General features: G+C 38.8%; 1 protein-coding gene and 1 long non-coding RNA gene across 5 annotated transcripts in view; one reads left to right on the plus strand and one right to left on the minus strand.

Annotated features, from left to right (window-relative positions):
• GTF2F2 (general transcription factor IIF subunit 2) overlaps positions 1-25,109 on the plus strand; it is a 164,384-nt gene that overhangs the window by 103,987 nt on the left and 35,288 nt on the right. The gene's annotated exons all lie outside the window — the stretch shown is intronic.
• Positions 359-18,782, minus strand: LOC105370190 (uncharacterized). 2 transcript variants are annotated; one of them, XR_941937.3, is made up of 3 exons: positions 18,698-18,782; positions 7,633-7,700; positions 359-446 (listed from the first exon to the last, which is right to left on the minus strand). It is a non-coding gene; the product is annotated as an uncharacterized LOC105370190 (long non-coding RNA). The 2 variants fall into 2 exon arrangements; XR_007063779.1 differs by lacking the exon at positions 18,698-18,782 and adding an exon at positions 8,585-10,569.

Genomic DNA, 25,109 nt, shown 5'->3' on the forward strand with positions numbered 1-25,109 from the left:
CTTTTCTGATTCTAGTTAGGGCAGATGTCATTGCATTTAATAAATCACAAAATAGAAAATATGTAGAATATCTCATTTTAGTTGGAGGAACACTCCCTTTGGGTCACTTGGTCTTTGTTGTTAATGTGATACACTTGTACCATCTATCTGAAACTCAGATATATAATAAAGTATTGCTAATTAAATTTCCTGACATCTTTCCAAGTGTTTTGCTGTGAAAGTGAATTATGCAAGTAAATGAACTCTATTAAGCTGTTGATTGCCAAAGCTTGTTTTTCTGATTTTTATTCAAATCTCTATCATGGATGAAGCATGCAGTTTCAGAATCAGTTCAGTGTTGACAACATATCAAGATATTCTGCAGTCAATCTCAATGTATGTTCATGAAGCCTCCAACATATTTTGTGGGATACCATCTTTGTCAGGCATTGTGCTAGGCACTGTCCCTGCAGTGAATAAGAAAGACAGGATTTCTGTATTTATGGGGCTTAGTACCAAGTTGTTCTCAAACTTTCATGTTTGTGTATACAAATCAGCTGAGGCCTTCACTAAACTACAGATTCCATGGCCTGGCCCTCAGAGATTTTGACTCAACAGGTCTGAGTTGGGACTAGAAATATGCATTGCTAATAGGCACCCTGACAATTCCGATGTAGGTGGTCCTTAGAACATATTTTGAGAAATATATTCTGTAGTCTGGCAGATAAAGAATTCTTAACAAGGAGGTACAACTTTCGGATAATATATGGACAAGAACAATATAATGTCATATTCGACCTGATTGCCGTTTCATCTGTAATTTAAACTATCTCAAAACCCTATTTTTGAAATCAATCACTTAATGTTTTTCCTTATGACCCTCATGTTGAGATAAAATGACTAAATACTTTGGTTGACTTTAAATATCATTTCTTATTTCTTAAACACCCTACCAATAATTAATCTTTCCTATAAGAATAACGTTGGCCTGTTGGCCGGGCATCATGGCAGCAGGTGCCTATAGTCCCAGCTACTCAGAGGCTGAGGCAGGAGAATTGCTTGACATGGAGATTGCAATGAGCCCAGATAGCGCCATTGCACTCCAGCCTTGTGCAACAGGAGTGAAGCTCTGTCTCAAAAAAAAAAAAAAAAAAAAGAATAGCCTTGGCCTATGACAAGCTGTCTCCCAAAGACAACCGTGATTAGAAAGCCAGAGCAAAGGCAAAATATTTCCACCCAAGTACTTCTTTAAAAATGAAATGTCATAGACCATATCTTCAAATGCATTTAAGAAGTTTCCCAGCTATATCTTGATATTTTGCTACAATGGATTATTGTCATATAACCCTTAATATTGGGACAGTGGTGCCTGTTGTACTTATTTGTTTCAATAAATTTTGTTTCCTCATTGTTTGTTACAGGAAGTTCAATTTGAATTTCTTCATCAGCATTATAATCAATCTTATTGTAATTAACTCAACAAGTATGAAAGAATTGGCAGATTCTGTTGGAATTAGGAAAAATGCATCTGTTTTCTTCCTTTTATGGGCTGTGATAGTAAAATAAATGGTGATTATATCCGGAAAAAAAAAAAAGCAATGTCATAGAATATATCTTGAAGTATGCACCAGAAATTGGGTCAGTGGTTGTCCCCAAAGAGAAGGTCTGGGTGGGTAGGGGAGACTTATTTATAATCATGTATCCTTTTGTGTGATACGAATTCAGTACCATGTGACTGTATTACCTAACCAAAAGGAAATTTGAGGCTATATATCATGTTGTAACTATAGCTCTAAACTTACGCTGTTGGTTGTAATTTGTGTAGCTACCTCTTAACTTAACTTTCTTTTTGGTAACTTTCCCCATCAGCATATCTTAGAGGGTGGGCCTTTTTCTCTTATAAGCACTTTATTTGAATAATCCTTTCCTTCAGAGGTTTGAGATGGCACTTTAAAAGTTTCATTCTTATACATCATAGGGTCTGTTTCTAAGCAGTTTTTTCCATTCTGTCATTCCAATCTTATATCAGAGACATACTATTTTGATTATTGTAGCTTAATATATTTTAATGCCTTAGAATATTATATTCCCCATTATTGTTCTTCTGTTTAAATGTTTTTCTTAATTCTTCTTACCTGTTTGGTCTTCCTTGTCCAAATTTTAGAACACTTTTTTTTCCCAGGTTCAAAAATCTCCAGTAAAATTTTTTTGCTCTAAATTTATAAAATTAGTTGGGAAGAATTCACTTCTTAGAATATTTAATCTTCCCATTCAAAAACACAGCTGTCTATTTACGCCTTCTTTTATATCTTTCAGTTGCAGTATATAGTTTTCTTCTAAGAGGGTTGAACCTTTTTCTGGTAAGGGTTGTGTATTTATAGTTTTGTTGCTATTGTAAATGTGTTTCTTTAAAAAATACAAGCCTGGGCAACATGGTAAGACCCTGTCTCTACAAAAAATTTAAAAATAAGCTGGTCATGGTGGTGCACACCTATAGTCCCAGCTACTGGGGAGAAATAGGAGGCCAAGGTGGGAGATCTCTTGAACCTGGAAGGTCAAGGCTGCAGTGAGCTGTGATCATGCCACTACACTCCAGCCTGGGCAACAGAGTGAGACCTTGTCTCAAAAATAAAAAATATTATATAGCTGGATTATAGGAAAATTATTTTTGTATATTTGTATTATTTCATTTTTCAATTTTTTCTTTCTCTTTAAGGTATATAATTATATTGCCTGCAAAAGTATGTTGACATTTTAAAAGTATTTATTAGCATATGAAATTTAGAAGAGCATATTGAGTTGTATATAGATATATATTTTCATATTCAATTAAAAATGTAAGATACAGTTTCCAGGTTATTGATCAGAGATAGATAGTAACTTATATATTCTGCTTCAGTTTATCCACAGGGAGAGCAAAATTCAGCATTGAAGAACCTAGGTTATAAGGCTGGACAGTTTTTCTAAGAATAGCAAATGATTTCACAGACATATACATATGTGAAAACATCAAATTGTACCCTTTATCTACAGCTTATATGTCACTTATATCTCAAAACTTTTTTAAAAAACAAATATCGCAAAACTTTTGCTTGAGTTAGGCTTTCTCTGTGATAGTCTTGCCTTTATTTGCTTTCATTGAAGAATTCTTTAAAAGTTTTTACTAATGTATTTTAAAAGGAATATAGATCAGTAGTTAACATAGTCCCTGATAGGTGACAGACATTCTGAATGTATTAAATGGAATGTAATTAAATGACATATTGGGTTATTTTTCCTTCTTTAACACCATGCTGGTGCTCACTTTTTAGGAGGCTGTGGGAATCCTGAGTCCTCTGCAGTAGAGAGATGAGTAAAGTGCATGGGGAAATGGCACAAATGCCCAGGGAATAAGGGAAAAATTTTCTGGGGAGGTGATGGCCCAAGGGATGAGTTTGCCATACAAAGAAGGGGGACTGAAGGCTAGAAAACAAGGTGACAAATCCTAGGAATTACCAGTGAAGAATCCTTTGACGTTCCAGAAGCTCTTTCATTTGGTTGCTAGTCTGTCTTGCCCACCCCTCCTGTAGGTTGTAGCTTTTTCCTTTTCATTTCTTGAGCAGTACCTGACATTGGGCCAGACTTACATTAGGCCTCCAGAAACCTCTTGAGATCAGTGGCATTTGTCCGCTTACCATGCTCACACACCGTTCTTCCCTTTAACCGACGGGCACTGAGCAGCTTCTCCTCATCCCTTGGGTATTGTTCTCCCTAAACACCAGTCTCTGCTTATCCTGCCTCATTTTCCTTATTGCTGCCAGAGTTAATCTTTTTTTTTTTTTTTTGGAGACGGAGTTTCACTCTTGTTGCCAGAAAACAAGGTGACAAATTATAGGAATTACCAATGAGGAATCCTTTGACATTCCAGAAGCTCTTTCATTTAGGTACTAGTCTATCTTGCCCACCCCTCCAGTAGCTTGTAGCTTTTTCCTTTTCATTTCTCGAGCAGTACCTGACGCTGGGCCAGACTTAGATTAGGCCCCCAGAAACCTCTTGAGACCAGTAGCATTTGTCTGCTTACCATGCTCACACACCGTTCTTCCCTTTAACCAATGGGCACTGAGCAGCTTCTCCTCATCCCTTGGGTATTGTTCTCCCTAAACACTAGTCTCTGCTTATCTCGCCTCATTCTCCTTATTGCTGCCAGAGTTAATCTTTTTTTTTTTTTTTTTTGAGACGGAGTTTTGCTCTTGTTGCCCAGGCTGGAGTGCAACGGCATGATCTCGTCTCACCGCAACCTCCGCCTCCCGGGTTCAAGCAATTCTCCTGCCTCATCCTCCCAAGTAGCTGGGATTACAGGCATGCGCCACCACGCCCAGCTAATTTTGTATTTTTAGTAGAGACAGGGTTTCTCCATGTTGGTCAGGTTGGTCTCGAACTTCCAGCCTCAGGTGATCTGCCCTTCATGGCCTCCTGAAGTGTTGGGATTACAGGCATGAGCCACCACACCCAACCAATCCTCATTTTTAAATGAACCCTGCCTCAGCCTCTCGAGTAGCTGAGATTACAGGTGCCTGCCACCACATCCGGCTAATTTTTGTAGTTTTTAGTAGAGACAGGGTTTCATCATGTTGGCCAGGCTGGTCTTGAACTCCTGACCTCAGGTGATCTGCCCACCTCGGCCTCCCGAAGTGCCGGGATTACAGGAATGAGCCACCGCACCTGGCTCTTCCCTTCCCCTCCACTCCCCTCGCTCCCTCTTTTTCTCTCTCACTGTCTCTTCTTGAGCTTCTGTGGATTGCACACCCTTCCTGAAATTTACCACCCTTTTTTTTGCCCCTTACTTCCCCCCACCTCCCACCACCGCCTTCTTTGTACAGCAAATTCCTAGCAAGGCCATCACCTCCGGAAAAGCCTCCCTATCCTCCTCCAGGCAGCTGCCCCCTCTTCCCATGTGCTTCACTTGTCTCTCCATGGCAGCTCTTCCTACACACTGTGATTATACTTATCTCTTTAAGCTGTTGGGAGATGGTAGAAATGTGATATTGGTTTGAAATTAGAGGCTTTTTTTGGGGATAGAAGGAGGCTCATGAGAAGATAGTATAAATATGTATTAATATTTAATAGAAATTAGAGAGGTTGTGAAGAATCCAGTGTGAAGAAAAAAGGTAGGAAAAGAAAAGAGGTAGGAAAGATGGTGAAGGCCAGATGTTAGAGAGCTGTCGACAGAAAGGAAACCTGGCCAGAAGAAAAAATGTAGTGATGTAAGGATGTATTTTGTCATCTCTTACATTTTATTTGAGAAATATTCAGAACACTTAGAAGGACTAATAGGTACAGGTCACACCCTCCTCTTTTCTCCTCTCCCCTGCCCCCATACTTTCAGTTTAACAAGGAAAGTAGAATACATAAAAAAATAGAGTAAAAGTTTAATAATGGCAACCTATGTGTGGTTAGGGTGCTTAAGTATGGTAGGAGAGGCCTGGTGCGGTGACTCACACCTGTAATCCCAGCACTTTGGGAGGCCAAGGTGGGCAGATCGCTTGAGGTCAGGAGTTTGAGACCAGCCTGGCCAACATGGTGAAACCTTATCTCTACTAAAAATAGAAAAATTAGCCGGACGTGGTGGCACACACCTGTAATCCCAGCTACTCTGGAGGCTGAGGAAGGAGAATCGTTTAAACCCATGAGGCGGAGGTTACAGTGAGCCAAGATCGCACCACTGCACTCCAGCCAGGGCAACAGAGCAAGACTCCATCTCAAAATAAAAAAAAAAAATTAACAAAAAGGATGGTAGGAGAGGTAACTCCAGTACTAATTGGTATGTCTTAAGCACTGCTGATGAGAAAGCCATTCAGATACAAAGTACTGGAAAGGCAGAGGGTGTACTGGAAAGTACTGGAAAGGGTGGTTGGAGGAGAATCTTTTGTGTGGTGGTGTGCACAAGTTACTGGGGTAAAGTGGACAGGATTACAAGGACTTTAGTAGGAGAAATATGGGAGGATACATTGAGGTACTTGGTAAGCATGGCTTTTCGTCTCAAGGTTTACACATATAAAAGCAAGGACAAAAACAACCATAGCATTGTCTTGTATTTACTACAAGTCAGAAAGTTGAGTATATTGCCAGTCTTTTTTTAAAATAGTCTGGTAGTTTTATGAAAAGTCTAACTAAAACTAGTACTGCTTATATATTGTCCATTTTGAGATAAAATTGTTTACAGTGATATGTTATACATAACTAGCTACATGTCATGTAATTATAACTTTACTTTGAACTAGGGTTTTTATTTATGTGGCATTGTAACATCAAAAGGTCACAATACCACTACCATCTACTAAAATGTAAGAATATCTTTTGTTAATTCCTACACGGTGTCAGCTAAAAGTTCTTAGTGACAATGTAAATTCATAAGGATAAGACAGAAGTGTTTAAGTTTGGGTTTTTTTTAGTTTGCAGCTTTTGTGGGGTTTTTTTTGCAGCTTTTGTTTTTTATAAGATTGGAGTAGAAGTATGTAGAATGCTAGATAATTTAACTTCTTCAGGTTCAATTCTAGTATTAATTGTTTGTCATTGTATCACAGAAGTTCATATCCAGCTTTTATTTTTTAATTTTCATTCTTATTCTTCTATTTATTTATTTTTTTATTTATTATTTATTTATTAATTTTGAGACGGAGTCTCGCTCTGTCACCCAGGCTGGAGTGCAGTGGCACAATCTTGGCTTACTGCAACCTCTGCCTCCCAGGTTCAAGCAATTCTTCTCCCTCAGCCTCCCGAGTAGCTGGGACTACAGGCGTATGCTACCACGCCCAGCTAATTTTTGTATTTTTAGTAGTGATGGGGTTTCACCATATTGGCCAGGCTGGTCTTGAACTCCTGACCTCATGATCTGCCCACCTCGGCCTCCCAGAGTGCTGGGATTACAGGCATGAGCCACTGTGCCGGCCTATTTTCATTCTTGAATTTAAAGTTAAATTATTCAAAGTTGAAATATGTACAGAAATTCTCTCACTTCTATTCATCCTCTCAATGGAGAGAGAGAGACCATATGGCCTGAAACCACGTCCACAGAGCAATGAATCAATAGGGAGTCCTCCTTTCCTGTTTTGCAGTCCTAAATGATACTCCCAATGGCTTTCACTCTTTAATATCAGTATCAGCACCACAACTGGTCGTAAATGAAGGTCTTTTCCTTGAAAGGGTGACTACTCTTTCTCTCATTTTTTTTTTCCTGGCTTGATTTGGCTCTAGTTAGCACAAGAAAACTTCTTAATTTTCAAACAGCATATTAAAAACTACCTTCTCTTTTAAGAATTTTTCTCTGAATCCCAGCTCACATTGGTAGCCACATACTGCCAGGTATTTCCCATCTATTTTTCTAGCATTTAAAGTTTCATGGAGTCACTAATGAAGTAGCCATTTGCTATATTTACTTAGTCACCATAGCAACATTGTCTCGGTTAGTGTATGCCTGGGTAGCTTCCTGCAGTTTGACATGATATGCAGCTAATAATTCTGATTTCTACTCAGAGGCAACAGGAATTTTGCAGAATAGTATTTTTAAATTTGCTGAATAGAAGTTATTTGATCCCACCATTGTATTCCATTGGCACTTATCACATAGTCATAGGATTACAGAAATTTTAATTTGAAAAAATGATTCATACTTACATATATCAGAGTAGCTGGCTGGAGAAACATGGCCTCCATCATCATAAGCAGCTTATTGAATTTCTAACCTAAACATTTTTAGGAGTTAAAGAAGTTGATGATCAGAGGGTTAGAAGTTGAGATTTCTTAACCATCTTGGGTGCTTAGCTTTAAATAAATAATTCTGGTTTTAAGACTTCAGTTTTTAGTATAATGTGAAAATTGAAAATACTTCTTGGCTGGGCATGATTGCTTATGCCTATAATCTCAGCACTTTGGGAGGCTGAGGCAGGAGGATCACTTGAGCCCAGGAATTCAAGACCAGCCTGGGTAACACAGTGAGATCTTGTCTCCACTAAAAATAAAATTTTTTTTAAATTAGCTGAGTGTGGTGGCATGTACCTATAGTCCCAGCTACTCAGGAGGCTGAGGCAGGAGGATCGCTTGAGTCCAGGAGGTTGAGGCTACAGTGACCTATGATCACGCCACTGCACTCCAGCCTGGGTGACGAGCAAGACCCTGTCTCAGAAAAAAAGAAATGAAGAAAAACACTTCTCATTATAGTAATTTTTCCAGTCTTTATTCTGTAATTTCTGTTAGGTCAGCCTTCTTGAACTGCATTACCTCATTCCCTTCTACCCACCCACCATAAGTTCCTTTAGTCATTACTGAAACTAACAGTTACATAAATATATTTTTACTTTTTAAATGTATCTCCTTCAGATTTCACATAGTGTAAGTGTGTACTTTGCAGAAAATACATTTTCTTTGATAGACATTGTTTGGAGAAGTTAGTATAGCCTGTTCATGGTTATAGTGTTTACAGTTTCAAGAATCTGATCTAATCTTAAATGATGTAAAGATGATCACTTGACCATCTGTTACAAAATTTGTAAAGGCTCACTTTAAACTACCAAGTTCGTTTTATATCTAAATTGCTTTTATGAAACGTACTCCATATTTTAAGCTCTACCTTGTATATGCATTAAATCCACAAAGCTGAGTACAGTGGTACATGCCTGTATTCTCAGCTACTGGGGATGCCGAGGCTTGAGCCCAGAAGTTTGAGGCAGTAATATGCTATGATTGTGCCTGCGAAAAGCCACTGCATTCTAGCCTGGGCAGCATCGTGAGACCCCATCTCTGCAATATAAAAAAACAATTTAAAATAAGAATGAATTAAATCCATAGAAGTCCACTTCCGTTTAGTCATCTGTATTCTCATTTTGATCTGTATAAAAACACAGCAGGCTCAAATCCTTCTTAATTTCATAATTAACCAGAAGAAACATGGGCACGTGTTCATTCCGATATGTATGTTTCATTTGTTCCTACCTAACTCAGTTGTTGAATGGCTATTACTAGGAAACCAAGGCTGTAGGTTCGGTTGCCAATTGAGCATATCACTGTAGACTGTTCCATGGACACAGATTTTGCCCTTGCCTCAGCTAGCAACACTGTGAATGAACTTTTAGCCAGTCATAGAGGAAACAGGAGAATACAACTTATTATAAAACAATTGCTAGCTGGATATGGTGGCCCACACCTATAATCCCAGCACTTTGGGAGGCCAAGGCAGGAGGATCCCTTGAGTCTGGGAGTTTGAGGCCAGCCTGGGCAACATGGCAAACCCCATCTCTACAAAATATAGAAAAGTCAGCTGGGTGTGATGGTGTGCACCTGTAGTCCCAGCTACTCAAGAGGCTGAGGTGGGAGGATCACTTGAGCCCAGGAGGCCGAGGTTGCAGTGAACCGAGATCATGCCACCGCACTCCAGCCTGGGCAACAGAGCGCGTCTCTGTCTCAAAAACAAAAATGAAAAACAAAACCATTGCCACAGTTGGAAAAAAATAATATAGGAGTTTATGTTTTCCTACTGGTGAATCAACCTCATCGTCTCCCACTATAAAGATGTCTACCAAAGCAACATTTGCAAAGATGGCCATAAGCAACGCAGATCATCATATTAACAGCTTAAAAAAATAAAACAGATTTTGTCCATCACTTCTTGAACATGCATTATGGCTTTAATAGCCTGTATTATAATTTTTACCATCCATGCATGTTGATGATGCAGAAAACATTTTTATACATTTGTTTTGGTCCTATAATAATAGTCATTCTGTGACTAACCAGAGCTATGTGAAGAATAGTCTGATATCCCTTGCATTTTGTAGTTTTTATAGGATATAAAATAAGTGACTGAAACATAAAGCTGTTTGTAAATAGAGCTAGCAGTGCACATAAAATAATATACAGAGTCTAGATTTGTAAATCATCAACTATTTTCACAAGCATCTTGTTCACAAATCTTTTTCCTGTATGCTAAGTTGAATTGCTTTTGTACTAAGACTAGCTTTTTAACAAAATCTGTTTGAATGGAATCAGATATTTTGTATATTTAGGAAAAAAACTGGCTTAAACATTTTTATAATGCCTTTTTCCTACTAATAGCAAAAATATTTATTTTATTAAAGTTATAAAATGATTATTAAGTTCTTAATCTATCCATGGGTTCAATATAAAAGAAAAACTTGCATGTTGGCCAGGTAACTTAATGTCAGAGTTGCATAATTCCTCATCAGACTATACCAGACCAGAAACCTATATATCAGTTAGTAAATATGCACTTTGGGCAGCTTACAAAAAGATGGTCATGCCAGTGCGGTGGCTCATGCCTGTAATTCCAGCACTTTGGGAGGCCAAGGCAGGCGAATCACCTGAGGTTGAGAGTTTGAGACCAGCCTGACCAACATGGAGCAACCCCGTCTCTACTAAAAATACAAAGTTAGCCGGGCATGGTGGCGCATGCCTGTAATCCCAGCTATTCGGGAGGCCGAGGTGGGAGAATCGCCTGAACCCAGGAGGCAGAGCTTGCAGTGAGCCAAGATTGTGCCATTGCACTCCAGCCTGGGCAACAAGAGCGGGAAACTCAAAAAAAAAAAAAAAAAAAAAAAAAAAAAAGGTCATAGTTGAATGTTTATTGAGAAGGCTAATAACATGAACTGACAACATTGTGAAAACAGAAAATCTTACAGTAGTAATTATTGTCAACACTTTGTCAATATGGTAAACTTATAAATATTAGTGTTTCTGTTATGAAACTGAATTAATTTATTATATTACCGGTAATTTCCAGCAGTTTCTCTTTTAATTTTTAAACAATTTTATTTAAAAATTAATATTTGTGAGACTAAATTCTCAAAACCAAACTTCATCCTTAATGAATACATTTCAATTCTTTATGAAAAGGAAGAGCTGTTAACGTTTTCTGACAAGTAATGCATTATAGTTCATCATTTTGGCACAGGATAGGCTTGAGTTTTCTTCTGACTTCTTAAGGACATATGTAGTGGGAGGCACTTATCTTTTTTTTTTTTTCTAATGTTTGATTAGCAGTTTGAAATGCTAATGAAATTAGCAAATTAAATGGAGATTTGATGAAGTAAAATTTGAAATTATGTCCATATGCTTTCTTTCCTTTTTCTTTTTTTTTTCCTGAGATAGAGTCCCGCTGTGTTGCCCAGGCTGCAGTGCAGTGGCGTGATCTCAGCTCATTGCAATTTCCGCCTCCCAGGTTCAAGTGATTCTCCTGCCTCAGCCTCCCGAGTAGCCAGGATTACAGGCACCCACTACCACACCTGGCTTTTATTTTTTTTTATTTATTTTTTATTTTTAGTAGAGACGGGGTTTCACCATGTTGACCGTGCTGGTCTCGAACTCCTGACCTCAGGTGATCGGCCCCCCTCAGCCTCCCAAAGTGCTGGGATTACAGGGATGAGCCACCGCACATGGCCAGATACTTTATTTTCTGTATTAACCTTTGCTGTAAGTCTTTACTATTTACCACAAAAAGTACAAAAACCAATTACAAAAATAGAAAAGAGGGACTGAAAGGAGGTCTTATTGTAGTAGTCTTGTGCCTGATGCCACTATCTAGATGCATTTAATTGTTTTCTAGAGAAAGAATTCATTTCCCAAGTATTTCTAATCAAAATGTATATGATGTGACTTGAGAATATTCAAGGGCTTGGCAGTCCCAAATACATCACACTGGTCTGGCCCACTGTCTATGGCCTGCAGTTCCCCTAAACTGTTCATTCCTCTGAGTCATACATACCATCATGGGACTCTGTGGACTCTTGTAGATGGGGAGTTGGCAAGGAACCAAAAGGCAGGAATGACTTACTTATCTAAATGGGAGAGTTTAAGCAGTAGGAGGCCCTAGAATTTGTACTTAGGCATAACTGACTTTCTATTTATGAAAATAATCTGGGAGAAGAAATGGATAGTGAAATCTCCTGAGTTGTGTATAGTGAAATGATGGTGTCAAGAAGATTGCTAAGTGCTCTCTAAATTGATTCCTCACCCCCCGCCACACATACACACACACACACACACACACACACACACACACACACAAGTTTATGAGGCTCAGTGTAGATAAGTGTGGAGTATAAAAATCTAATCTTTTGGGATTATGGGAGGAAAGGTGCCTAAGTGTTACTGTTTAGTGTTCCCTAAAAGCATTAGCCTATTTGACTGTTGAGGTAAAAATAATGCATATGAAATAATCTAGAGCTGTATAGAAAATCAACCAAAAGGGTCGAGGAAGTGAAAAATGGGGATACTAGTCTAAGTAAAATAGATAATTGTGATATGATAAAGAGCAGAAGAGGAATAAAACAGTTACTTTTTATTCATTTGCACCAACTATGCAGTTTGTCTGAAAGTGACCCTGTCTCCTGTGAAGAAAATTATATAACCTTCTTGAGTCATATTTTAATATGACGAGGAATATTGAGAAAAATAATTTTTGAGACTAGTTAAAAAAATGGTTATCATGAGTAATCTGTATAATTTCAGGAGATGTTCCAATGAAATGATTTTTTTCTACTTTTGTTAAACTCAGACATTCTATTCACTACTGGTTGAAAGTCATATGACGAATTGATTTGAGTACCCTAAAAGATTAAATCTAAAAAATATTATACCTAAAGATCAGTGAATTCTTTGAATCAGATATATAAGAAATTACCCAAAGCTGTAAACTGCCATATTTTTATGTTTTTCGGTGCTGTGGTTAAATTATAATTGATTATAATTAGCACTTCCATGAACATTGCATGTTTTACCTGCAGCTGAATGACATTTAGGAAGAAATTTTTTTAATCTTTGAAAACATCAGAAGAGATAGTGCTTTCTGATCTAATATAGCTAAATATCCCCTATCAGAATACATAAAGGATGAACACAGATTTTACAAGTCTTGATTCTAAAATCCAATATGTAAACTAAATAAATATTAAAAGTTGTGCTTATTCAAATAACTCCCATACATTTCTGTTCAATATGGGTACTGGAGTGATAATAAGATGTACAATAATAGCTAAAATATACTGAATACATACTATGGGACAGGCCATTTACTAAGTGTTTTATAAAGGTTATCTCACTTATTTCTGTTATAATTCTCATTGTTTTCCATGAGAGCACCAAAGGACTAAAGAAGTTGAATAACTTGACCAAGGTCACACCTAGGGATGGACCTGTAACTTAAAATCAGAGCTTGGTTTCAGACCTGCCATACCATGGTACATTCTTTTACTCTAAGTATTATTTAAGGCTATTCTGTATGCCATGAATTTGCTTTAGTCTCTGATTTTTAATGCAAAGTTACTGGCATGGATCAAAAACAAAAGATACTTCATTTTTGCTCTCTTTAATATTGAGTTATAAACATTACTGGTTCTTCTGATAGAAAAGCTTTCATCCCCACTCCTGGGAACCATATCAAATTATTTAGGCACTTTATTTGGAGTTAGAGTTTGAAAAGGTTTCTGTTTGTTTGTTTGTTTGTTTTTGAGATGAAGTCTCACTCTGTAGCCCAGGCTGGAGTGCAGTGGCGTCATCTCAGCTCACCGCAACCTCTGCTTCCCAGGTACAAGCCATTCGCCTGCCTCAGCCTCCAGAGTAGCTGGGATTACAGGTGCACACCGCTGCACTCGGCTGATTTTTTGCATATTTAATAGAGAAGAGGTTTCACCATGTTGGCCAGGCTGGTCTTAAACTCCCAACCTCAGGTAACCCACTCACTTCAGCCTCCCAAACTGCTAGGATTACAGGCATGAGCCACCACGCCCGGCCTGAAAAGTTTTTAAAGAATGAAACTCAAGTATTTTCTCATTCATCATCCATTGGAGTTTAAGGTGATTTTATTTCTATCATGGAAAGAATAGCCACTTGGTCATGTATTGAGGAGTAATAAATGGTCCCTGATCAGCTCAACGTTTTTTCCCCTCATATATTTCTGCTTTATGCCTGTACTAAAATAGTGTCTAGAGTGCGTGATTAACAGGAAAAGCATTAGCAGTAAGTTTCTTCTATCACATGCTGTCCCTTATGCCTCCCCTCCCTCTTCCCACTCCCTTGTTCCTCTTCCCTGTCACACACACATTTATTTTGGAATCCGAACTTTCGAGATGAAAAGCAGTTTACTTTCATAAAGTAGCATGACACATCATGCCTGACTTGAAGTAAAGAAAAAAAAAAAATAGTCGGGTGCAGTGGCTCACGCCTGTAATCCCAGCACTTTGGGAGGCCGAGGCAGGCGGATCACCTGAGGTTGGGAGTTCGAGACCAGCCTGACCAACATGGAGAAACCTCGTCTCTACTAAAAATACAAAATTAGCCGGGTGTGGTGGCGCATGCCTGTAATCTCAGCTATTTGGGAGGCTGAGGCAGGAGAATCTCTTGAACCTGGGAGGCAAAGGTTGCGGTGAGCCGAGATGGCGCCATTGCACTCCAGTCTGGGCAATAAGAGCGAAATTCCATCTCGAAAAAAAAAAAAAAAGGAAAAAAAGGAAAAGAAAAATATATATTGCAGTGAATAAATTGAAAGTAATCAAAATGTATAATTATTTGGACAAAATCTCCAGGCAGTACAGTCTTAGGTATCTTGTTGCTCACAGATTCATGAGAAGCAGTTGTTAGGTGAGCTGCCTGCCTCCCTGGCCCCTCCCCAGTTTGGGCATCTGTGTGCTTGCTTGCAACCAGAGTGCTGGTGACTTAGAAGTAACGCCACTGCTTAAGGTAAAAGTATCCCCTGAACATACCTTCAAGTTCCAGATAAAGAGATTTCAAAAGGAAAGAATCTAAGAGATAAGGAAACTACGTAAGATAGTAGAAATGTTCTGATCATAAGTTAAGATATTTATATTTTGGACTGTTTAGTGGAAATCTTGTGTTGTCTAGCTAACAGAGGTAATATAGTGACTCTCTGGAATGCTGGTGATATACTCTTCCTAAAGAAGTGATAGTTAGGCAGTGGATTGACAGTCTTACAGTGTTTCTTTGAAAAACAGAAGTTGGGCAGTAATTTAAAAAAATAAAACAAGACAGGCACAAAAAGACTCCATTAGTCTGTCATCTATTTGACCTTACTCAACACATACCAAAAACTTGTGGGTGCTTGTTGTTTCTAACAGAAATCTTGGAGAAAACCAAGTCCAGTGTGAATCATCATTCCCTCACTGGGCATAGGCCCTTTCGGAACACATTTGAATCAGATGTATAAGAAATTACCCAAAACTGTAAGCTGCCGTATTTTTATGGCATATAATGGACATAGTGTGGACATTATATATTTTCTTAAATAGCTATAAATATTTTAAATTGGGATAGTATATATTTAATAAGCTTTAAAATATGCCTGCATTGCTTCATTATATCTAAGATGCAATTATGATACAGGTGATGAACACAAAACAAGGAATCTTGAATTTTTTCCCCCACTCTGCCCCTTACAAGCTTTATGGTCATGGGCATGTCACAATTCTGCCAGGACTTAATTAGGGATTTGAATTATATGAGAATATAGAAGAATTCAACTCAGTATTAAGTCTTTCACTAAGAGGGAGCTATTAGGTTGAATCTTATGAAGATGCTAGTTTTATATACCAAAAATGTTCCAATTTCTGTATTATGTAGAGGGATTTTTTTTTTTTTTTTTTTTTTTTTTAGTTCTTAGCCTGAACACCAACTGCCATGCACTCTCCTAAGAACAATCTAGGAGAGCCCATCAGCCAACTCATGGATTCACCTTAGGATGGGAGCATGGGGATGGAAGGGAAGGGAATTGCTTTTCCTTTCATAAGACTGTAGTCTTGATGCCAGTGGTTATTTCCCACTTGTGTCATGACTTTGCTGCTTCTAGTAATAACTCTTTGTTGCTGCTTTGTTTAAAACAAAAAACCCCTGGAATATAGATATATATAGATCAGGACAGCCAACTAGTGGCCTGGTGTAGCTAGTGTATGTTTTTTTGGTTTTGAAAGGGTTTTCTGTTGGTTTGGTTTGGTATGGGAGAATTGCTCATTTTAAAAATTGAATTAGTTAGCAATATTTGTTAAGTGATTTCACAGAAAATTATAATTACTGGCCGGGCAGAGTGGCTCACACCTGTAATCCCAGCACTTTGGGAGGCCAAGGTGGTTGGATCACCTGAGGTCAGGAGTTTGAGACCAGCCTGGCCAACATGGTGAAACCCTGTCTCTACCAAAAATACAAAAATTAGTCAGGCATGGTGGTGGGCGCCTGTAATCCCAGCTACTCAGGAGGCTGAAGCAGGAGAATCGCTTGAACCTGGGATGCGGAGGTTGCAGTGAGCTGAGATCGCACCGTTGTACTCCAGCCTGGGTGACAAGAGGAAAACTACCTCTCAAAAAAAGGAAAGAAAATTATAAATTCTTGTCTGAGCATGGTGGCTCATGCCTGTAATCCCAGCACTTTGGGAGGCCCAGGTGGGCGGATCACTTGAGCTCAGGGGTTTGAGACCAGCTGGGCAACATGGCAAAACCCTGTTATTACAAAAAAAAAAAAAAAAAATTAGAAAAAATTAGTCGGGTGTGGTGGCATGCATCTTTTATCCCAGCCACAAGGGCAGCTGAGGCAGGAGGATCAAATGAGCCCAGGAGGTTGAGGCTGCAGTGTGTCGTGATCATACCACAGACCACTGCACTCTCCAACCTGGGCAACAGAATGAGACCTTGCCTTAAAAAAAAGTAAATAAATATAAAATATATATATATATATATATATCTGCATTCTTAAATAGTTAGAAGATCTGATAATAAACACTGTGCCTACATTCCTACAGGGTGATAAACAGCTAGAGCTGAGTACTTGCTACCCACCTGGGGTGGAGCATATTCTCTATTTTCTGGTTCACTCTAGCCCCAGCTTCTCTCTCTTATGTTCTACTGCACTGGACAGGCCCCTGTAGACATTTGAGTTTGTGATTCTCTTCCACCATCCAATAGATTTTCTGCAATGGTAGAAGTGTGTTATATCTTTGTTGTCCAGTATGATAGCCACTAGCTACATGTGGCAATTAAGCACTTGAAATGTGGCTAGTGTCCTTGAGGAGGCGAATTCTTAATTTTATTTATTTTTAATTAATTTAAATAGACACGGCTAGTGGCTACCATATTGGACAGTTCAAGTCAATAATGGAGTATTTTCCTTTATTGGCTATTTCCTACAGAGTGAAAAGCAAGCCTTAATGCATTTTATATCTATTCTCTTAAATGCTGAATCTAAATGTTAGCATATATTACTGTAAGCCTTATGATTTGAAAACCAAATAACCCTCTCTGATGAAATGGAGCCTGAGACTTTTCTTCTTTTTTCCTCCTTATTTATTTATTCAACGCACTGGGTTTTACATGCCTGTTCTGGGCCCTAGGCATATGATCATGGTCCCTGTTTTCATGAAGCTTACAGATAATTAATAAATATTTGTAAGAGATGCTTGCCCAAGTAATTTAATATTTACTATCTGTAATCCCTTCAGTAGCCCTGCCAGATAAGGATATAATACATTTACTTGTTAATTCCAAGCCCTAAAATTTCCTCATTGCCACTTAGATTCACTTCTAATAGATTGACGTATACTTACTATTGCAGTCCTCTGAAAAGCATCTTACTCCCAAAATATTGAAACTTCCTATAAAGGTGCTGTTTTAAAGCTAGGCTTCTTCATATCTTTTTCATATTAGTAAATCAGCTCAACCCTCACCCTATTACTTCACCTGGCCTTTCTCCTGGCCTTCTGTCTGCCTTCCAAGCTGCGTCTTCTGCTGGCACTTCTTTTTTTTTTTTTTTTTTTTTTTTAACTTGACTTTGGGCCAAGTATGTGTGCTCTCACTCACGGGCAGTCTCAGTAACTCTACTGCTCTTCCTGCTTCTTGCTGTGAAAACTTTTTTCCTCCTTTCACCCTGCAAATGTCAGCCTCCGTCTCCCCCTTTCAAAAATGAAATACACATGTTTAGAAAATACACATTCTTTTGTAGAACCTATCCTTTAAAAAATAACAAATTGCAATCAAATGCACAAAAGATAGATGAATGCTGGAGTGATATATTTATGTTTTTAAATGACTTCTACATTGACAGTTGCTGGTGGAAACATTTGTTGTTTAGTGTTTTTGTAGTTGTTTAATTCCATTGATAACAAGATTAGCAAGGCAGTATTAGGGCTTTTGCTTAGACATGAAAATAGTCCACATGTATTAAATTAGGCAGAATTATAGTATTTGTTAATATAGGACTCAGCCTTTTTCTTTGTGATCTAATTGTCTAACAAAGGTGTCATTTATTCATTTGCTTAAAGAATATTTATTGAGTTGCTATTATGTGAGAAATGCTGTACTTAGAAATGAGATAAATGGAGGATTTATTGACTAAAACTTACAGATTTCTCTTCCAAATCTGCCAGCAGTTTAGATTGAGAGTTTGGCATTTTTTCGTTTAGTTAGGTCTTACCAGTGTTCATCCTGTAAAATACTTGGAGGATGTATATGCTACTATTATTTTTATTACATGAATTTTGTATTTTCAGAATATACACAGTAATTTGCAAATTAAATTCTCAGTATAGTACATAACTTTTCACAAAGTGTAATAATGAAGTACAGTTGTTTCTCGGTATCCCCAGGGGATTGATTCCAGGACTCCGTCACATACCAAAATTCTCAGATGCTCAAGTCCCTTATATAAAATGGTGTTGTATTTGCATATAACCTACCTCCATCCTTCTGTGTACTTTAAATCAGGGGTTCCTCAACGCCTGGGCCGCATACTGGTCCGTGCCTGTTAGGAACCAGGCCAAACAGGTGGAGTGAGCAGAGGGCAAGTGAACATTACTGCCTGAGCTCCGCCTCCTGTCTGATCAGCAGTGGCATTAGATTCTCAAAGGAGCATGAGCCCTATTGTAAACTGCAACTCCGAGAGATCTAGGTTGCGTGCTCCTTATGGGAATCTAACTAATGCCTGATGATCTGGGATGGAACAGTTTCATTTGCCACACCCTCCACGCTGTTGGTGGAAAAATTGTCTTCCACAAAACCAGTCCCTGGTGCCAAAAAGGTTGTGGGACCGATATGTTAAATCATCTCTTGATTACTTTACAATACCTAACACAATGTAAATGCTGTTTAAGTAGTGGTTTTACTGTTTTTTTTTAAATCCATTTTGTTTTATTGTTGTTTTTGGGTTTTTTGTTTGTTTTTTGAGACGGAGTCTCGCTTTGTCACCCAGGCTGGAGTGCAGTGGCACAATCTTGGCTCACTGCAGCCTCCACCTCCTGGGTTCAAACGATTCTTCTGCCTCAGCCTCCTGAGTAGGTGGGATTACAGGCAGCTGCCACCACACCCAGCTAATTTTTGTATTTTTAGTAGACACACAGTTTCACCATGTTGGCCAGGCTGGTCTCAAACTCCTGACCTCAAGTGATCCACCCACCTTGGCCTCCCAAAGTGCTGGGATTACAGGCGTGAGCCACTGCGCCCTGCCAGTTTTTTGTTTTTTTAAACAAATATTTTCTATCCACAGTTGGTTGAATCTGCAGGTACCCAATATGCATATACAGTGGCCCAACTGTAATTTTGACAAGGGTGATTATGAACCATGGTTATGTCGCAATGACTTAGTGACACTGAGTTACTAGGAGTCTTTTTTTTCAGTGTTATAAAGGAGAATGTGCTTTTTCTGTGTGTGTATAGAATTGTATTAGTTGTAGGGAGGCTGATGACTGTCAAGGAGAAATTACTTTGAACTAAGTTCGTGAAGTTTTTATTAGAGATTTTATTCTGTTATATGACCTTTTATGGGACCATATAGAGTTAGGATTAATAGCATGAACCCTAGATTGAAAAGAGAAAAATCCAATTTTGTTTTGTTTTTGCTTACTATGAGGAAAAAATGATATTGAGATGATATAGGAAAAGTTCTTACCACAGTTTCCAGCACATAGTAAGTGTTCTTTAAATGTTTTATTTTTGTTACAGTTGTCATTTTATTCTTGTTGTATTTCTATGCTAGGTAGCCCTTGAGCTTTGTTTTTTTGATGGGAAAAAATATGAGCTTAAACTTACTCTTTAGATAATAATAATAGAAAGACTAGTAATTCAAGAAGTTGATCTTGACTGTTTCCTTATAATAGTAACAAAGCTATTTAATTTTATATGACCAAGGTTATACAATGATAGTCATTGTTAGTCATTATTTCTTTCTCTTTTTTTGAGACAGAGTCTCACTCTGTTGCCCAGGCTGGCGTGCAGTGGCACAATCTTGGCTCACTGCAACCTCCGCTTCCTGGGTTCAAGCGATTCTCCTGCCTCAGCATCCTGAGTAGCTGGGATTACAGATGTGAGCCACCATGCCTGGCTAATTTTTTGTATTTTTAGTAGAAACGGAGTTTCATCATGTTGGCCAGACTGGTCTCGAGCTCCTAACCTCAAGTGATTCGGCCTCCCAAAATGCTGGGATTACAGGCATGAGCCACCGTGCCCAGCTGGTCCTTATTTCTTGTCCGGAGAAATGAGTTGCTCTTGAAGCTTTCTACATCAGATGTTTGTATCTATTTTAATATAAGTGTGAGACAGAAAGAGAAACTGATATCTTCATGTAAAACATTAAGAATTCAAAATAGAAGGTGGTAATTTTTCTTCTCTTATTTTCAACTGGAATAGTTTTTCTACATCTGAAAATGGAACACATAATTTACAAATTTTCAAGTAAAATGTGGTGAATCCCATAGGAAACAGTTTTACAGAGATGTAGTCTGTCTACCCTGCGTAGGTTATAGTTGCTGAAGCCAGAAATCTGAGCCCAGTTATTCTTTAAAATTTTTTTTTTTTAATTTTTAGTAGGTTTTTGAGGAACAGGTGGTGTTTGGTTACATGTATAATTTCTTCAGTGGTGATTTGTGAGATTTTGATGCACCCATCACCCAAATAGTGTACACTGTACCCAATGTATAGTCTTTACGCCTCATCCTCCCTTTCCTTACCTCTCCCACCACCACATCCCCAAAAGTCATTGTATCATTCTCATGCGTTTGCATAGTTTAGCTCCCACTTACAAGTGAGAACATACAATGTTTGGTTTCCCATTCTTGAGATACTTCACTTAGAATAACGGTCTCCAACTCCACCCAGGTTGCTGCAAGTGCCATTATTTTCTTCCTTTTTATGGCTGAGTAGTATTCCATGGTGTGAATATATATATATATATATATATATATATATATATACATATACATACACACACACACACACCACATTTTGTTTATCCACTCTTTTTTGTATCCACTCTTTTTTGTATCTACTAAAAATACAAAAAATTAGCCGGGCGTGGTGGCAGGTGCCTGCAGTCCCAGCTACTCGGGAGGCTGAGGCAGGAGAATGGCGTGAACCTGGAAGGTGGAGCTTGCAGTGAGCCCAGACTGCGCCATTGCACTCCAGCCTGGGCGACTAGCGAGACTCCATCTCAAAAAAAAAAAAAAAAAGTATTCCCTTTTCACCACATCCACGCCAACATCTATTATTTATTTATTTATTTATTTATTTTATTTATTTTGAGACGGAGCTCGCTCTGTCGCCCAGGCTGGAATGCAGTGGCCGGATCTCAGCTCACTGCAAGCTCCGCCTGCCGGGTTCACGCCATTCTCCTGCCTCAGCCTCCCGAGTAGCTGGGACTGCAGGCGCCCGCCACCATGCCCGGCTAATTTTTTGTATTTTTTTTAGTAGAGACGGGGTTTCATCGTGTTGTCCAGGATGGTCTCGATCTCCTGACCTCGTGATCCGCCCTCCTTGGCCTTCCAAAGTGCTGGGATTACAGGCGTGAGCCACCGCGCCCGGCCTATTTTTTTATTTTTTAAATTATAGCCATTCTTGGAGGAGTAAGGTGGTATCATATTGTTTGAGCCCAGTTATTCTTGATGCCTTTATTTCTCCTTTATCTTACTTAGGCACCACTTTCTATTGAATCTGTTTTCAAAATATTTCCTAAATTTGTTTAACTTGAGTCCCACTCCTTTACCATCACCCTGTTCCAAGTGAATATTATCTTTCCTCTGGATTGGTACAGTAGCTTTCCTAGTCAGTGATGTCCATTTTTGCCCCATTCTATTCTGCAAATAGTAGCCAGAGGAATATTTTTAAAACACAAATTTAATTCCTTGCTTCAAAAATTCTCTGATTTTTCATTAATCTTAGGATTTAAAATACTTACGACAGTCCATATATTTCCTACTTGCCTTCCTAGATTTTACTCTGTGTAAATTCACTTTAAAATTAAGCTTCATTGGCTGGGCACGGTGGCTCACGCCTGTAATCCCAGCACTTTGGGAGGCCAATGCGGGCGGATCACGAGGTCAGGAGCTCTAGACCATCCTGGCTAACACGGTGAAACCCCGTCTCTACTAAAAATACAAAAAAATTAGCCTGGCGTGGTGGCGGGCGCCTGTAGTCCCAGCTACTTGGGAAGATGAGGCAGGAGAATGGTGTGAACCCGGGAGGCGGAGCTTGCAGTGAGCCGAGATAAGCGCCACTGCACTCCAGCCTGGGCGACAGATCAAGACTCTGTCTCAAAAAAAAAAAAAAAAAGTTAAGCTTCTTGGCTGGGCACTGCGGCTCACGCCTGTAATCCCAGCTCTTTGGGAGGCTAAGGCGGGCAGATCACTTGAGGACAGGAGTTCGAGACCAGCCTGACCAACATTGCAAAACCCTGTCTCTACTAAAAATACAAAAAATAAAATAAAAATCAGCCAGGTGTGGTGGTGCATGCCTGTAATCCCAAGAATCGCTTTAACCTGGGAAGCAGAGGTTGCAGTGAGCTGGTATCACGCCACTGCACTCCAGCCTGGGAGACAGAGAGAGACTGTCTCAAATTAAATTAAGCTTCCTGAATATAAGCTATTCTGTTAGACAGATACCTGGTTTTTTTGTTTGTTTGTTTTGTTTTTGAGATGGAGTCTCTGTCACCCAGGCTGGAGTGCAGTGGCCGGATCTCAGCTCACTGCAACCTCCGCCTCCTGGCTTCAAGCAATTCTCCTGCCTCAGCCTCCCAAGTAGCTGGGAGTACAGGTGTGTGCCACCACACCCAGCTAATTTTTTGTATTTTCAATAGAGACAGGGTTTCACCGAGTTGGCCAGGATGGTCTCGATCTGACCTCATGATCCACCTGCCTCAGCTTCCCAAAGTGCTAGGGTTACAGGCATGAGCCACTGTGCCCGGCCACCTGTATCCTGTATTTTATTTTTAGTGTTTTTGATGTTATAACTCAGGCAAATAATTTAGGGACTACTTTCAAGCTTCACCAACTTGAATTTCCAAGAATACCATTCTGAAGTTACCTAAAATTAAAATTGCAGTTTTTGTTGTTGTTGTTGTTTGTCTGTTCATTTGTTTTTGAGATGGAATCTCGCTCTGTTGCCCAGGCATGAGTGCAGTGGAGACATCTCAGCTCACCACAACCTCTACCTTCTGGGTTCAAGCAATTCTCCTGCCTCAGCCTCCTGAGTAGGTGTGATTACAGGCGTGCATCACCACACCTGGCTAATTTTTGTATTTTTAATAGAAACGGGGTTTCACCATGTTGGCCAGGCTGGTCTCGAACTCCTGACCTCATGATCTGCCCACCTCAGCCTCCCAAAGTGCTGAGATTACAGGCGTGAGCCACCGTGCCTGGCCTGATTTTTTTAAATAAATGGAGTTTTATTTCATTAGAATGAATACTAGTTCAAGCTTGACTAAATTTGTTACTTGATACTTAATAGTCTTACATTGTGACAAATAGATATGCGTGATTTATGACTAGAATAGCAATTATTTTATAGATGTACTGTATGTTTCCAAGCACTTTCTCTATGTCTATGGGGAACACCAGAAGGCATGGTTAGTCCTGGCATTTGAAGAATATATATTTATATTCTGAATTTGCACCAAGTTTTTTTTGTGTTTTTTTGTTTTGTTTTGTTTTTTGTTTTTTTGTTTTTGTTTTTGTGTGTTTTGTTTTTTTGGTTTTTGTTTTTTGTTTTTGAGACGGAGTTTCGCTCTTGTTGCCCAGACTGGAGTGCAATGGCGCGATCTCAGCTCACTGCAACCTCTGCCTCCTGGGTTCAAGCAATTTTCCTGCCTCAGCCTCCTGAGTAGCTGGGATTACAGGCGCCTGCCACCATGCCCGGCTGATTTTTTTGTATTTTTAGTAGAGACTGGGTTTCGCCATGTTGGGCAAGCTGGTCTTGAACTCCTGACCTCAGGTGATCCACCTGTCTCTGCCTCCCAAAGTGCTGGGATTACAGGCGTGAGCCACCACTCCCAGCCAGCACCAAGTATTTTTTTAATGGTTTACAAAACAAAGTAAAATGTAGCCTGGCTGTATCTAAGTGATCAGCCATTATTTTTCTATTTGTTTCCTGAAAACAACACTGTATTTTTAAATTTTCTGAAAAAGTGGAGACTCATTTTTTAAAATGGTCAGGGTAGCCTTTTAGCTTGCTCCCAAGTCAGCCTAATACCTCTGTGTAGTTTGTTTGGAAATATGTGGTGCTTTACGAACCACATATTTCCAAATTATATTATTTTGTACAAACCTAGATAAACCTTACCTTGACTTTGAAAGCATATCAAGGTCAGTAATGTTTAATTTAGTACATTGTTCAGTGATGAAATGGAGTTGCCAGTTGTTCTTGTCACTTCATGAGATAGTGTTAAATGAATTATTTAGTGTTAAGGACCCTGCTAAATTATTTTAAACGATTCAAAGCGAGTTAAAGTATTTTAAGATTTAGTTCTTTGTTATATTTTCAGTTCATACATTAACCTTTTTAGTTTTGAATCATAAGTTGTCCTCTTTTAATTAAAACCCTTGTGGTTGCCTTTTAAATGTATGATAGAACAGTTAAATTTTTAAAATGAGTTTATTTTTAAAAAAAAAATCAGTGTTTTCCTTTATGTAAAAGGTTAAATGCTTTGAGGATAAAAACTGCATGACACTGTATGAGTGATGAAATTGGCTTTTAGAATTGTAGAATTAAAATTGAAAGGAAAGTATGCTGCATAAACCTGAGTCTGGATGCAGTGGCTACAAATAAATTCAAGTGTAAGAGTGTGACCAGAATAAGCTACCGTTTATAAAGAAGCACTTCACTAAA

This window comes from Homo sapiens, chromosome 13 (assembly GCF_000001405.40).
Source record: "Homo sapiens chromosome 13, GRCh38.p14 Primary Assembly".
NCBI lineage: Eukaryota > Metazoa > Chordata > Mammalia > Primates > Hominidae > Homo > Homo sapiens.